This window comes from Homo sapiens, chromosome 2 (assembly GCF_000001405.40).
Source record: "Homo sapiens chromosome 2, GRCh38.p14 Primary Assembly".
Lineage (NCBI taxonomy): Eukaryota > Metazoa > Chordata > Mammalia > Primates > Hominidae > Homo > Homo sapiens.
In genome coordinates this window covers 74,040,655-74,053,687 of record NC_000002.12, presented here as the reverse complement: position 1 = coordinate 74,053,687, position 13,033 = coordinate 74,040,655, and the positions used below count along the sequence as shown (strand labels likewise).

The 13,033-nt window shown below is 47.7% G+C and overlaps 1 protein-coding gene across 16 annotated transcripts in view, besides 2 other annotated features; it reads right to left on the bottom strand.

Moving 5' to 3' along the window:
* The window catches only part of TET3 (tet methylcytosine dioxygenase 3), a 151,868-nt gene that overhangs the window by 81,811 nt on the left and 57,024 nt on the right, over positions 1 to 13,033 (bottom strand). For 14 of the 16 annotated variants that reach the window (XM_011532683.3, XM_047443659.1, XM_017003566.2 and 11 more), the window contains one exon: positions 5,277 to 7,410. The exons of the other annotated variants lie outside the window; for them this stretch is intronic. In XM_011532683.3, coding sequence (XP_011530985.1) covers positions 5,277 to 7,410 — 2,134 coding nt within the window. The remainder of the gene's footprint in view (positions 1 to 5,276; positions 7,411 to 13,033) is intronic. 16 annotated transcript variants of the gene reach the window in all.
* Positions 983 to 1,482: an enhancer, noted in NCBI's record as "NANOG-H3K4me1 hESC enhancer chr2:74279333-74279832 (GRCh37/hg19 assembly coordinates)". NCBI's record gives its function as "activates a minimal SCP1, AML or CMV promoter by ChIP-STARR-seq in primed H9 embryonic stem cells {active_cell/tissue: H9 hESC(primed)}" and the evidence as "EXISTENCE:reporter gene assay evidence [ECO:0000049][PMID:30033119]".
* Positions 1,483 to 1,984: an enhancer, noted in NCBI's record as "NANOG-H3K4me1 hESC enhancer chr2:74278831-74279332 (GRCh37/hg19 assembly coordinates)". NCBI's record gives its function as "activates a minimal SCP1, AML or CMV promoter by ChIP-STARR-seq in primed H9 embryonic stem cells {active_cell/tissue: H9 hESC(primed)}" and the evidence as "EXISTENCE:reporter gene assay evidence [ECO:0000049][PMID:30033119]".

Below are 13,033 nucleotides of genomic sequence, written 5' to 3'. Positions count from 1 at the left end.
CCACTCCCTCACCCAGACTTTCACCATGCTCCAGGCAAAGGAGATATTTTCCCTGTGGCTTCTTCAGGGAAGAACAATCAACTGATTAAAAATACAACATATTTCTATGAAGGCAACCACTAGCATCTACACCTCCTAACCTCTTGCTTTTGCTGTGGTTTAGTCTCTGCAGCTTCCTGTTGGCTGCTCCCCAGAGACATCAGGACAACGCTTACAAACTAACACAGATACCTTCCTCATCTCTAAGATGGTGACTAGATGAGCACAAAGGATGCTTTTCCCACTAAAAAGTCATTTGCATTCATTCTCCGTCCTAAACTGGCTCCTCTTGGGAATTTCCCTGTTACTGAAAATAGACAAAATACACAAAGGCGAAGGGAACAACAGTCTCTATAGCTCCTTGTCCTGTTTCTGACAATGGTGTTATAGGATGGTTGGGGGGGGACTCTCCAATGAGTATTTTTAAATATCCACATCCACAAGTCACTTGCAATAATTCAACATAGAAATTCAACTTGTGATAAATATTCTCAAAGCTGCAAACATCATATTATCTTTTAGAGAATGGCATTTCCTTTCATAGCTTATAAGTTTACTTCTTTGAAGCTTTAAGGGGTGCCTTTAATTCTAGAACTTCAAGATTCAGATAAAAAAATCCATATGAGTCCCATTCAGACCTTCAGAAACCCATCATTTTTACATAAAGGGGTTGGGGACTTTGGTTACATGGTGATGCTCATATTGGCTAAATTGCTTATTTGGCAAAATTACCAAATAACTTGAATAATAGAGGGTTTTTTTGTTTTGTTTTGTTTTTTGAGACAGAGTCTTGCTCTTTCGCCCAGGCTGGAGTGCAGTGGCGTGATCTCAGCTCACTGCAACCTCGGCCTCCCAGGTTCAAGTGATTCTTCTGCTTCAGCCTCCAGAGTAACTGGAATTACAGGCACCCGCCACCATGCCCAGCTAATTTTTGTATTTTTAGTAGAGATAGGGTTTCACCATACTGGCCAGGGTGGTCTCGAATTCCTGACCTCATGATCTGCCCGCCTCTGCCTCCCAAAGTGCTGGGATTACAGGCATGAGCCACAGCGCCCGGGCCCCTCCCCCACCATTTTTTTTTTTTTTTTTTTTGGCTATAGGAACTTGTATGCTTTTATAAAGTTGTTCCCATATTCTGTTATCAGCTCTTAGATGGCTTCATGGAGTCTCCATATTTCACCCCCACTTCTATGGAAAATTCTTCCTTATATTAACCTATAACTCTCTACCTACCACTGGTGAGGGGATGAATTTCTGGAGTATGGGATTTTCCCATTGTCATCCCAGAGTGAGCACCTTGATTTCTAAGCCTTGTTCTGAGCCTGAATTCACAAAGACAAATTCTACCATACCAACTGAAGAAGCACCTGTTCAGGCGTGGTGGCTTATACCTGTAATCCTAGCACTTTGGGAGGCTGAGGCAGGTGGACTGCCTGAGCTCAGGAGTTTGAGACCAGCCTGGGCAACACGGTGAAACCCCGTCTCTACTAAAATACAAGAAGTTAGCCAGGCATGGTGGTGGGTGCCTGTAATCCCAGCTACTCGGGAGGTCGAGGCATGAGAACTGCTTGAACCCAGGAGGCAGAGGTTGCAGTGAGCCAAGATCACGCCACTGCACTCCAGCATGGGCAACAGAGCGAGAAGCATGTGGCCAGACAATTCTGGAAAACAGAATGGGTTTTCCTAACATGAACCTCAGGCCCTCCAGAAGCTGTTTCAGAGCAAATCTCTTCGTTGGTTCTCTTCATTCTACTACCATTGTTTTAGTGAGGACTTGTTTCCCAACTGACCAATTTCAATCACAATATGACATGGTGGTTAAGAGTCCAACTGCCTAGGTTCAAATCTCACTTTCACTAGTTTGTATGACCTTGGTAAATTACTTAATCTGTTTCCTCATGGCTAAAATGGAGCCACTGACAGTATTTACCTCATAGAGCTGCTATGAGGATTAAGTGAGGTGGTGACTATTAAGTACTTGGCAGGGTGCCTAGACCAGAGCAGGTGCTTCATAAACACTTTTACTCTCAAAAGCTTCCTAACGGGTCTCCTACCACAGGGTTATCACCCTTCACCAATCCACCTTCCATGCTACTGCTAGCATGCACTTTCACAAATATTTCTGGGTTATACAACACAAATTTCATTGTAGAAAATTCAGAAAACACATGAGGGAAAGGTCATCCATACTCCGACCATACAGACAATCCACTGTTCATATATTTTCTTCTAGTCTTTTTTCCATTTTCTAAAACTCAACTGAGATGATTGTTCAAATTTGTTTCTGCTGTTTTTACCTAAGTATTTTCCTCTAATTTAATAATACAAAGTGTTGTTAGCTCCCAGTTCCTGGAGGTCTGGTTTCTCTGATGCTGACAGATGCCTGCATTTTTGCTCACTGCCTACAAGCGAACATGTATCCTCTCTGGTGGAGGCTCCTCATCCGAGGAATGCAGGAGAACAGAGGTTTCAGGTCACCCTTGCAACATCCCATCCTGCAAGCTTGCTCCTTCTGCCCCAAGACTGTGCTTATGCACTACTCAGTCTGGAAAGCCTTTCTGCCTCTCCCCATCTGTGTTCACCACAGTTTTCAAAACCCAGCTCTAAACAAGAGTTTCCCAGATAAAACATGATCTCCCATGATGACAACTAAGTCTGTGCTACAGGGTACCCCTGCGATATAGCCACTTCCATACAACAGCATGGGCCTCGGAGGTAAAAGGCACTCAGCACACACTGGCTGAGTGGGTAACTAAATATTTTATTGTTGTTTTTTTTTTTCCTTAAGTAAACCATAGGCTGGGTGCAGTGGTTCACGACTATAATCCCAGCACTTTGGGAGGCTGAGATGACAGGATCGCTTGAGCCCAGGAGTTTGAGACAAGCCTGGGCAATATAGTGAGACCTCGTCTCCACAAAAAATTTTTAAAAATTAGCCAAGTATGGTGGCATGCGCCTGTAATTCCAGCTACTCGGGAGACTGAGGTGGGAGGATTGCTTGAGCCCAGGAAGTGGAGGCTACAGTGAGCAGAGATCATGCCACTGCATTCCAGCCCCCGCAACAGAGTGAGACCCTGCCTAAAAATAAAAAAAGGAAACCGCAAAGTCCTTCAGTGATGAACCATTTCTCTTAATTTTATCCTTATTGGTAGTTATACATGGCTAGGTAATTAATATATGGTAACTAAAGGAACAGCCAACTTTTTTTTTTCCTTTACAAGGTATGGTTTTACTTTTCTTGCCCTATTGGACTTGATAGGCTTGATAACAGCTGACACTCTTGTGCCAACACAGCACTAAGTGCTTTACACATAGTAACGAATTTCATCCTCACAACAGCCCTGGTGAGGCCGGTACTATTATCGTTTTCATTCTACATATGAGGAAGCAGAAACCGTGATGGGTTATGTAAAGTGCCCAAGCACTCCCAGCTAGTAAGTGATGGAGTTGGGATGCAAATTTAAAAACTAGTTTGACCACACATAATATCCATATAATTAAATTCAACAATTAAAATATTGGCTAAGGATCAACTATGTCTTAAAACACTAGGTAAGGATATTTCCCACGTTGTAGAAGGAGAAACGAGGTGCTAAACACAGGCGGATGGGACACACACATACACGCACAGAGAAAAGGGTAAGCGGACCCCATGATCAAAACAAGTTTCCCCCATATGCTGGTAAATAAGAGGGCCCTCGAAGTCATGTCGTTACTAGTCATATCTAAGAATGGACAGGGCCAGTGGGAACCATCATCTAGGAGCATGTCTCTTGAGTGCCTGGCAGCATATCTGTTCACCCCCAAGTAAGAGCCCTGGGGCCAGATTTTCCTTGTTCTGCATGTGACTCCTTGTCACCCACCCCTCTGCCTCGTACCCCAGGATCGGGGAGGGGTAGCTGGAGGAGGCAGAACAGCCCAGCTCCTCCCTACTGACCGGGAAACAACATCCCAGCAAGTACATGACTTACTTGATATTTACGTATTTTTCACAAGTAGGGAAGACAGCCTTTTCCCAAGACCCGTCTGTGTATCACAAAATCACAAGAATTCAATATGCTCATCGCCAGCACCACTGTGTTTTCTGTCAACATCTGAAACACACATATCTTTTACAGAACACTCCCTAAACAGAGTGTGGGGGCCGAGTGGACCTGGAGCTTACTACTGCCTCCAGGACTTCCCAGAGACAGTATGCTTATTGGGGAGTGGTCCTCAGTGGCCCTGCACCCTACTCTCATTCCAGAAGGCAAGGCTTAGAAGTGGACTCAACTCCTCAACGCGTTCTCACACACGGCACCGCTTCAACCATGACTTGCATGCTAACTAGGTCCAAACGTGTAACTCAGACCCTGACCTGGTCTTCTGGCCACTTCAGATGTGGCTCGTCCAGTGGGAACTCACTTCCTGTCCTCCCAATCCGAGTTATCAGTGAACACCACCACCCCCAGGCAGAGACCTGCAGTGTCTCATCCCCTCCTCCCACAAGCCTTCCTCTGGAGACCTTCCAACCCCTCCCTCTGCCACCGGCTCTTTCAGGCCAGGCCCTTGTCATTTCTTGCCTGGCTCATGACAACACCTTTCTTACAGCTATGTCTCCTCAGTGCCCTCAAGCTTCCCTCCCCACCATAAGCCAGAAGTCTTTCAAAAGCACAAGGTGACAGGGCATTCCTTGCTTTAAAATCCTCAGGAGCTCACTATTACCTATGGGGTCAAGTCAAACTCTTGGCCTTGGCTCCCTGGGCCCTACACAATCTGGCCCCTGACACCATCCTCCTCACCCACCAAGCCACCTTTTGTTCATCTCCACATATACCCAACCCCTTTTGCTCCTGCCTGAACCAAGAATAGTCCAAGTAAGTTCCACTCCCTCATAGCCACTAAGCTGTTGCCCAAGCTACTCCCTCTTCTAGAATGTGTCCTTTCTATCTGATGGCTCTGTAGGGCTCGGCGCAAGTACTACCTCCTACAAGAAGGCCTCTATTATGCCTTCAACTCCATTTGTGTATTAAAGCACCTATGCCCATCTCAGCCGACGTGGCATACACGCACAGTATCACGTCAATTTCTTTCAATGTCTTTTCCACTAGGCTATGAGCTCATTTCTGTGTTCCCAGAACCCAGTGTGGCAGTTGGCACAAATAAATGTTTGCCAAATGAAAGGCAGGGCCTAGAAATCCTAGCTCACCAGGCCACAGCCCTTTCTCTGCCCTTCCCTGATACCCAGGCGGACTTACCGACGCAATCGCAGGTGGGGAACTCGGCCTGGGCTCTCTTGGCAGGTGTGTCCAGCAGACTCTTGGTGGGTGTGTCCAGGTACTTAAGAGGTGACTCCAAGAAGCCACTGAGGGTGGGTGTGAGTGGGTTCTCAGCCTTGGTGGGTGTGGCCTCCTGTCCTCCCTCCTCTGAATGGAAGCAGGTGGTTGAGAGCACAGTCACAGCCCCCGAAGACTCAATCTTGATTTGCTTGGGGGAACGGGTAGCAAAGGGGCTCTCAGGGGCTGGGAGACATGTTTGCTGGTTCTCGGGGTCCTGAATGGGCACAGAAGGGGGGCCGGGAAGCCCAAAGCTATCTCCAAATTCAGCCTCAAACTGCCGGATGAGCTCTTCCAGCTTGTCATCGGCAGGGGGAAGAGGGCCAGTGGAGCCTGGCTGCAAGGCTGTCATGGGGCTGGGGGACCTCATTTCCTGAGTAGGGGGCAGCAGGCTGTCCCTGGAGGGACTAGGTGCAAATAGCGCAAGAGAAGGTTCTGGGGGCAGGGGCACAGCAGAGCCCTGTGAGGCAGGCAGAGGGGCCGGTGGATGAGCCTGCACTTCCTGGGAGGCTGGGGACCTAAGCCCTTCCAGGACAATCTGTCGGACAGGTGGGAAGAGGGGCTGTGCTTCCCGGGGCCTGGACTTCTTGATCTGAATGGGCTTTCGGACACTGGGCTTGATCCCAGGGGCAGCTTTCTCCGTTCCCACGGGACCTCCAGCTGGTGTTGGGAGCTTCTTCTTCTTCTCCTTGGGTGGTCTGTCTGGAAGCCGTGGGACAGGTGAACTTGGTGGGGGCCACCAGCCAGGAGCAGAAGGCTCTGAAGGAGCAGGGAAGGAGGTGTCGTGCACCTGTTCTAGGAAGAGGCTGCGCTTGTGGTGGAGGTGCTGCTGCAGGGCGGTCTGGGCCTTCTGGTGGGTGTCGGGCTCCGAGGATGGCGTGGGAGCCTCCCTCTGAAGTACAGGGGATGGGGCCGGGGCCGGGGAGGAAGAGGGTGCCTCCACCTTGACCTTGGGCTTGGTAGGCAGGGCCTCAGGCCGCTTGAATACTGACTGGATGTAATCACTGGCGCTGCCCAACAACTGCTCCAGTTCAGCCATGGGATCGGGGCTTGGGCGAGGCATGGGCCAGGAGCTCCGGGGCGTTGCTGGAGGGGTGTCAGTGCCCCAGGCTTCAGGGAACTCAGTTCTAGGAGTTGCTGGAGGGAAGGCAGAGCTATCAGGAGCAAAAGATGAGTGCTCTTCAGGAGGAACCACAGGCCATGAGGGAGCCCGGAGGTAAGACTGGGGAGATCTGAAAGGGGCAGGAGGTGACAAGGCCTCAGGAAGGGGGCAAGAAGCCTGGGGGGTGGAATGAGAAGGCTGCGGGAGGGCAGAGGAGAGCTGTGTGAGGGCCTCAATGGCAATGGCGGTCTGCAAGCTGATGTTTTTTTCCTTGGCAATGCTCAGGGCACTCTGGGACAGGGGCAGGCCCTCTTGGGGAGAGATCTGGGGCACCTCTGAGCTGAGGAGTGGCCTGGTGCTTGGTGCTGGGAGGCCGGCCTCACCAGGAGGCAGAGGCCCTGGGAGCCTGGGCCGCTCCTCCCCTCCTTCCATGACCACAGACTTGATCTTCCCCTCCAGCCACTCGAGGTAGTCAGGGCATTCTGGGCCATCGCAGTTGCAGTTGGGTGGTTTCATACCATGCCGCGCGAGGGCCAGGGCCGTCTGCAGTGTGTCAAGGTCTTCGCTGCCAGCAGAGCAGCCCTCAGGCCCTGGCCGGGGTCCCCTGCTGTTGTTCCCAGCCTCACGACTCATCTCACGGTTGAAGGTTTCATAGAGCCGGGTGCTAAGGGCCCCATAAGAGGACACAGCTTCGGCCACAGCCGAAAAGGCCACCAGATCGTGGGCATCTTCCAGGCGAGCAGTATGAGCTGGGCCTGGGGCAGCCTCCCAGTCGGGCTTTTGGTCTACCCGCCAAGGACCCCCAGTCCCCAGCAGACTGGGTCCAGCGGGCTCTCTAGCACCATTGACCGGCACCCCTGAGGCGCTTAGCTGCCGTGAGTCCCCATGGTACACTGGCCCTGAGTCCATCTGACCTGGAACAGGTCCATCAACTGGGCTGAGCTCTGAGCCTGTCTAAAGAGAGAGAGAAGGGGGAAAAAGGAAAAAAATGAACCACACTATTTGAAAAGCATTTCCCTGCTTCATACCACTCAGGTGCACATCTGACCCCAACTTTTCTTGCAAATCCTCTCTCTGGTACTTCTTGAGCCTCCAATTCATCTTCCCATGTCTCTGGTTCCCTAGGGAGCTTCACCAGCAGAAACAAAAAGAAGATCTTTAAGATATTTTTAAAGAGAAGATCCTAATGAGACATTCTTAATGTTGCTCAGAAACTTTTAGAGCCTCAGATCAATCACACAAATGAGGCTCTCCTAAAACCAGAGACACACAAAAAGGTCCTTAATTCACAATGATCAAAGTCACACTAGGACTTTATTTTGTTTTTTGTCAAGATGGAAAGAAATCCAACCAAGCCTGTGTGTACACACGTGCTCTAAGTGTGAAGTGTGGGTTCGTAGGGGTAGGGAAAGAGGAGCTTTGATGAACAAATTCAGCCTGGACCATGGGTCAGCCATGGCTTCCTAGTGGGGACCCATAGTTCTTTTCTCCCCCTAAAACTGTCCTCACTTAAGCCCAGGCTGAGCACAGAAAGCTGGCAACAGACCACATTCCCACACACAGCCCCAGGCCTGAGGGAAACGCCGATGATCTGACACAGCATGCGTTTAGCCCCATGCCAGGTCAGTCCTGCCAAAGACAAGCAAGTTGCTGCTTAGAGAAGGATTCAGGCCTCTCCCCAAGCACGAGAGCCACCACCATATACCTCATATCCCCAAAAGCACACCAAAGGGGAAGGATGAGAGGAAGAGAAAAGTGAATACAAAGATGTGAAATTGAGTTTGCAGACCCATCCCTTAGGAAAGGAAAGCTCTTCCTTACTGTAGAATGCTAAGAGAAAACACAGAAGGACTGATGGATTTAAAAAGACATCAGTGGCAGCAGGTGAAAGCATGATGAGGTACAGGATGTATACACGGTCTCAAAGCATCTCTAAAATTACATAATTACAATAGTAACTGTAGTGGAGAGATCTGGTAGACAGACACCACCTTAACCCAAATGACCAAAGTTACAATCATCACCAATACTGAGACAAAACAACACCATGTGCCTCTTGATGTAAGACATTGCGGATGACTTAACACCACTCACATAGAACTCCTGCCAAAATGTATAACCTGAATCTAATCACAAGGAAACATCAGACAAACCCAAATTGAAGGGCGTTCTAGAAAGTACCTGTATTGTTTTTCTTGACTTTGAAATTTTTTGAAGAGAACAATCTCTTCCCTTAAAAAGAACAGCTAAATGCGTGTTCATGGCTTAGACCTTAGACTGGGGAAAAGCACACTATTTTTACTTGGGACAAGTCATGAAATGTGAATATGGATGTGGATAAGATAATATTCTGTCATCCCTAATCTTGACTTGGATCATTAGACAATGGGTTATGTAAGAGAATGCCCTTGTTCTCAGGATACACATACTGAAGTATTTAGGAGTAAAGGGACAGTACAGACAGTCCCCAACTTACGATGGTTCCACTTAAGATTCTGACTTTGCGACAGGCGTTCAATAGAAACCATACTTTGAATTTTGATCTTTTCTGAGGCTAGCAACACTTTCGCGATGCTGGGCAGTGGCAGCAAGCCAGATCCCCTGGTCAACCACGCCATCACCAAGGTAAACGACTGAGGCTCCACAGTGTTCCATGCTGTTAGGGCTTTCTGGATATTGTGTTCTGTGTTTTAGCAACCCATCATGTCTATAAAATGCCTATTTTTGACTTACAATACTTTCAATTGATGATTAGTTTATTGGGACGTAACTCAGTCATAAGTTGAGGAACATCATGTACTCAATTTAATCTCAAATGATTCAGAAAAAAACCATATGCATATGGAAAAATATGTCTATACAGACAAGATGATAAATACATGAGACAAAACCTACACATTTGGGGTATGTGAAGTCCCAAGTATGATCCCTGCTATTTTTCTATAAATTTTTAAATTCTGTGAAAATAAAAAGCTAAATAAGAAATCAGTCCCTCAAGTATAACACAAAGTGTTTTATTTATTTATTTTACAGACACACTCTCACCCAGGCTGGAGTTCAGTGGCATGATCATAGTTCACTGCAGCCTTGAACTCCTGCAGTGGTGTGATCACAGTTCACTGCAGCCTTGAACTCCTGGACTCAAGCGATCCTCCCACCTCAGCCTATCAAGTAGCTAGGACTTGATGCATGTACCACGCCCAGCTAATTTATTTTATTTTTATTTTTTTTAATTTTAGAGCCTGAGTCTTGCTGTGTTGCCCAGGCTGATCTCTAACTTCTGGCCTCAAATGATCCTCTGGCCTTAGCCTCCTAAAGTGTTGGGATTATAGGTGTGAGACACTGTGTCTGGCCTCAAAGTGTTTTAAGTAGGTGGCTAAAAAGATGCCAGTGCTAAGACTGTCAGACAAGGCCATCATGGGCTCCTAAGTGTGGTGGGAAACTAGGGTTTGGGATGAGCTCTGTGGGAGGTTAGCAGAGGCCCCAGCCCGCAGTTCCTGTCTCATCCTCACCCTTGCCCCCATTCTGGCCACAAAAGACCCTCATGCTTTTCTAACAGGCCATGTTCTCTGATGTCACCAGGCTTTGTACACGCAGTTCTCATTGCCTGGAATGCCCTTCTCAGCCTCTTAGAGCGGCCTCCCTGGCTTATCAGCTCAGTGTCACCTCTTCCCCTACCTACTACATAGAATTATCTGTGGCTCCTTCCCTGGATTCCCAGGGCACCTTCATTAGCACTTATCGCATGCCACTACTGTTATTTGTTCAAGCAGCTGCCTCCCTCCCCCACTTGATGGTGGCTCCAGGCAGGCAGGGTCCAAATCTCAATGACTCCTGTGCTTCCTGCCCACAGCTGGAGCAGTAACACTCAGGCAAAGGAAAGGCCTGCCATCCCCACAGGCCATGGAATATATCAGCTTTTCCCTGACCCCAGTGGGAGACTACTTTTCCGAAGTCTAGGAATGTGGCAGATCACCCAGCACTCTCTTCTTTCTTAGAAGCCTAAACTAATGTGGCTAACAAGGCTATACAATCTGAAGTGGTCAAATCTTACATGCTTATGTAGGAAGACGGAAAGAGCATGCATAACCAAGAAGAAACACCCGAGAGTAGCACAGATTTACAAAAACAGTGTCAGGGAGACTAATGCTACATGAGTGGAGGCTTCCCCAAAATGGTCAAGACAACTAAAAGGGATTTAAAAAGTTATTTTTGGTGTGTGAATAAGAACAAGGAAGGGCTAGGATGGCTCTTGTGCCTCTGAATTCCCTGGGAAGGAAAATGCTCCTCGGACCAAAAAGAGGAGAAAGGGAAAAGTAGATGTAGATATGAGGTAAGTGAAGCCAGTATGGATAGGAAGATCTTAAGAAACTCTAAATTCCCATTTCCCAACCAAGAGATCCCACTGATACCTTTCTCAACACCTGTCAGTAATGCTGGAGGAAACCTGCCAGCAGGAGACGGGGCCAACAGGCAAGAGAAGGAGAAGCGTCCTTCCCAACTCTCAGTCTGCTGCATTTAAGAACAGCCCAGGTAAGAACCACAAGGAGTCAGGTCCACAGAAGGCCATTAACCTACCAACATCCAAACAATCTTAGTGCTTTGAGTCATGGGGTCATTGGACAGTAAATGGGGAGATACTGTGGCTGACAGGTCACAAAGGTGAGAGCTTCGGGCCAAATCTCCCACAAGTTTGTTTTACTTGCCTATATGGTGTTAATGTTTTTGTTTTGCCAACATTCAAAAATCAAATTCCACATGAAACCTGGATTTTCTTGAAGATCCACACTTCTATGGGCAACTATGTCTGTAACTGAGCAGTGGCTACTCCTTACATAGGATATAACTACTCCAACTCACCCCCAGCTTCCCCACTCCACACTGCCTTCTTGAAACCAAGGCTGGGGTCAGGAATTACTTATTAATTGCTTGAATTAATTATCACTTCACTCACTTGTGTTACCTGCCAACCCCCTGTAGGCCTTTGACTTTGCAACTTCGGCTGTGGATGTTCAAGTTTCACAAGGTCTGCCATGACCCTTTTGAGGCCAGCTACAGAGAACTACAGGCTGAAAGGGCCGGTTCACCACTGGTTAAATGACCATGCTCAAAGGGTACAAGAGGTGTATCAACTGGGAGAAGGGTCTTTAGTGGTCTGCCACAGGGCTCTGTTCTTGGAACTATCCTGTTCAACATATTTATCAATAATGATAGAGAAGGCTCACTTAATAAATAAGTAGATGTTGAAAATAGAAGGGATAAAGCTATGTTGAGTGACAGAACCAGGTGCCAAAAGGTCAACAGGCTAGAAAGAAAAAAAATCTAAAAGGGTAAACAGGGTCTCATACTTAGGCCCCAAGCCACATCTGTGCAAATAAATTAAAGATGGAAGAAGCACATAATAGCAGCAGCGGTACCCATAAAAATGTCTTAGGAATCAGAAGAGGTAAAATCCTGAGAGCTAACTGATGGCACACCCAGTATGATGTGATGTGGCAGCTTCAAAGGGTCTTATAACCCAGTTTTTTTCAAAAATTTTCACTACAATCCACAGTAAGAAATACATTTTATGCTGTGATCCATTAGCTACTTATATACAAGTTTTGTAAAACAGTACTTCGCCTTAACAGATACATTAATGTATCTTTCTTCTTTATTTTTAAATGCAGGTTGCAACCTTCTAAGTTGATTTCGGGGTCTACTAATGGGTTCTGACCCAGTCTGACACACACAGCTATGACCTGACCTGAACAGGACTACAGCACAAGCAGTGACAGCCCTGCTTGTGACCCAGACAGTCCCCCACTGAATGGAGGCTTCCCTGTGGGGCCGCACCCTCTGGGCAGAGAGGAAGGCGAGCATGAGGGTTCAAAACCACAAGAGGAACAGCTCCCTTTTGGTTCTGAACAAGATAAAACTCCAGAAAGTCTTTAAACATCTGAAGGCCTACTGTTTGGGAAAAGAATTAGACTTGTTTTGAGTGGCCTTAAGGGATGGAATTAGAAAATGGGTAAAGAGAGAGAAAAGCTTAGGTTCCATCTAGGGAAGAATTTGCTTAATACTTAGAGATACTAGAAAATGCACTGAAACCAGTCCCCCTAACAACCAGAGGAAACAAGTTCTTATCAATGGAGATGCGGAAAAGAAAAGCAAGCAGCTATTTGGCAATTATCGGCAGGGAGGCAGGACAATGCCAGAGGAGGATGGGGACCAGTTTAGCCCTTTTGAAGCCTCAGCTCAGACCCATCCCAGCTCAGAAACCCTCCGCTTTTCCCCTCAATTCTCATGCCCTTCTGGGCTCCAGCAAACATCACTGTGAGATGCTCCTTTTTTTGAGACAGGGTCTTGCTGCTCTGTTGCCCATGATGGAGTGCAGTTGCGCGATCGTGGCTTAATGCAGCCTCAACTGATTCTCCCACCTCAGCCTCCCAAGTAGCTGGGACCACAGGTATGCACCACCATGCCCAGCTGATTTTATTTTTAGTAGAGACAAAGTCTTGCTATGTTGTCCAGGCTGGTGTCAAACCACTGAGCTCAAGCAATTTTCCTGCCCCGGCCTCCCAAAGTGCTGGGATTA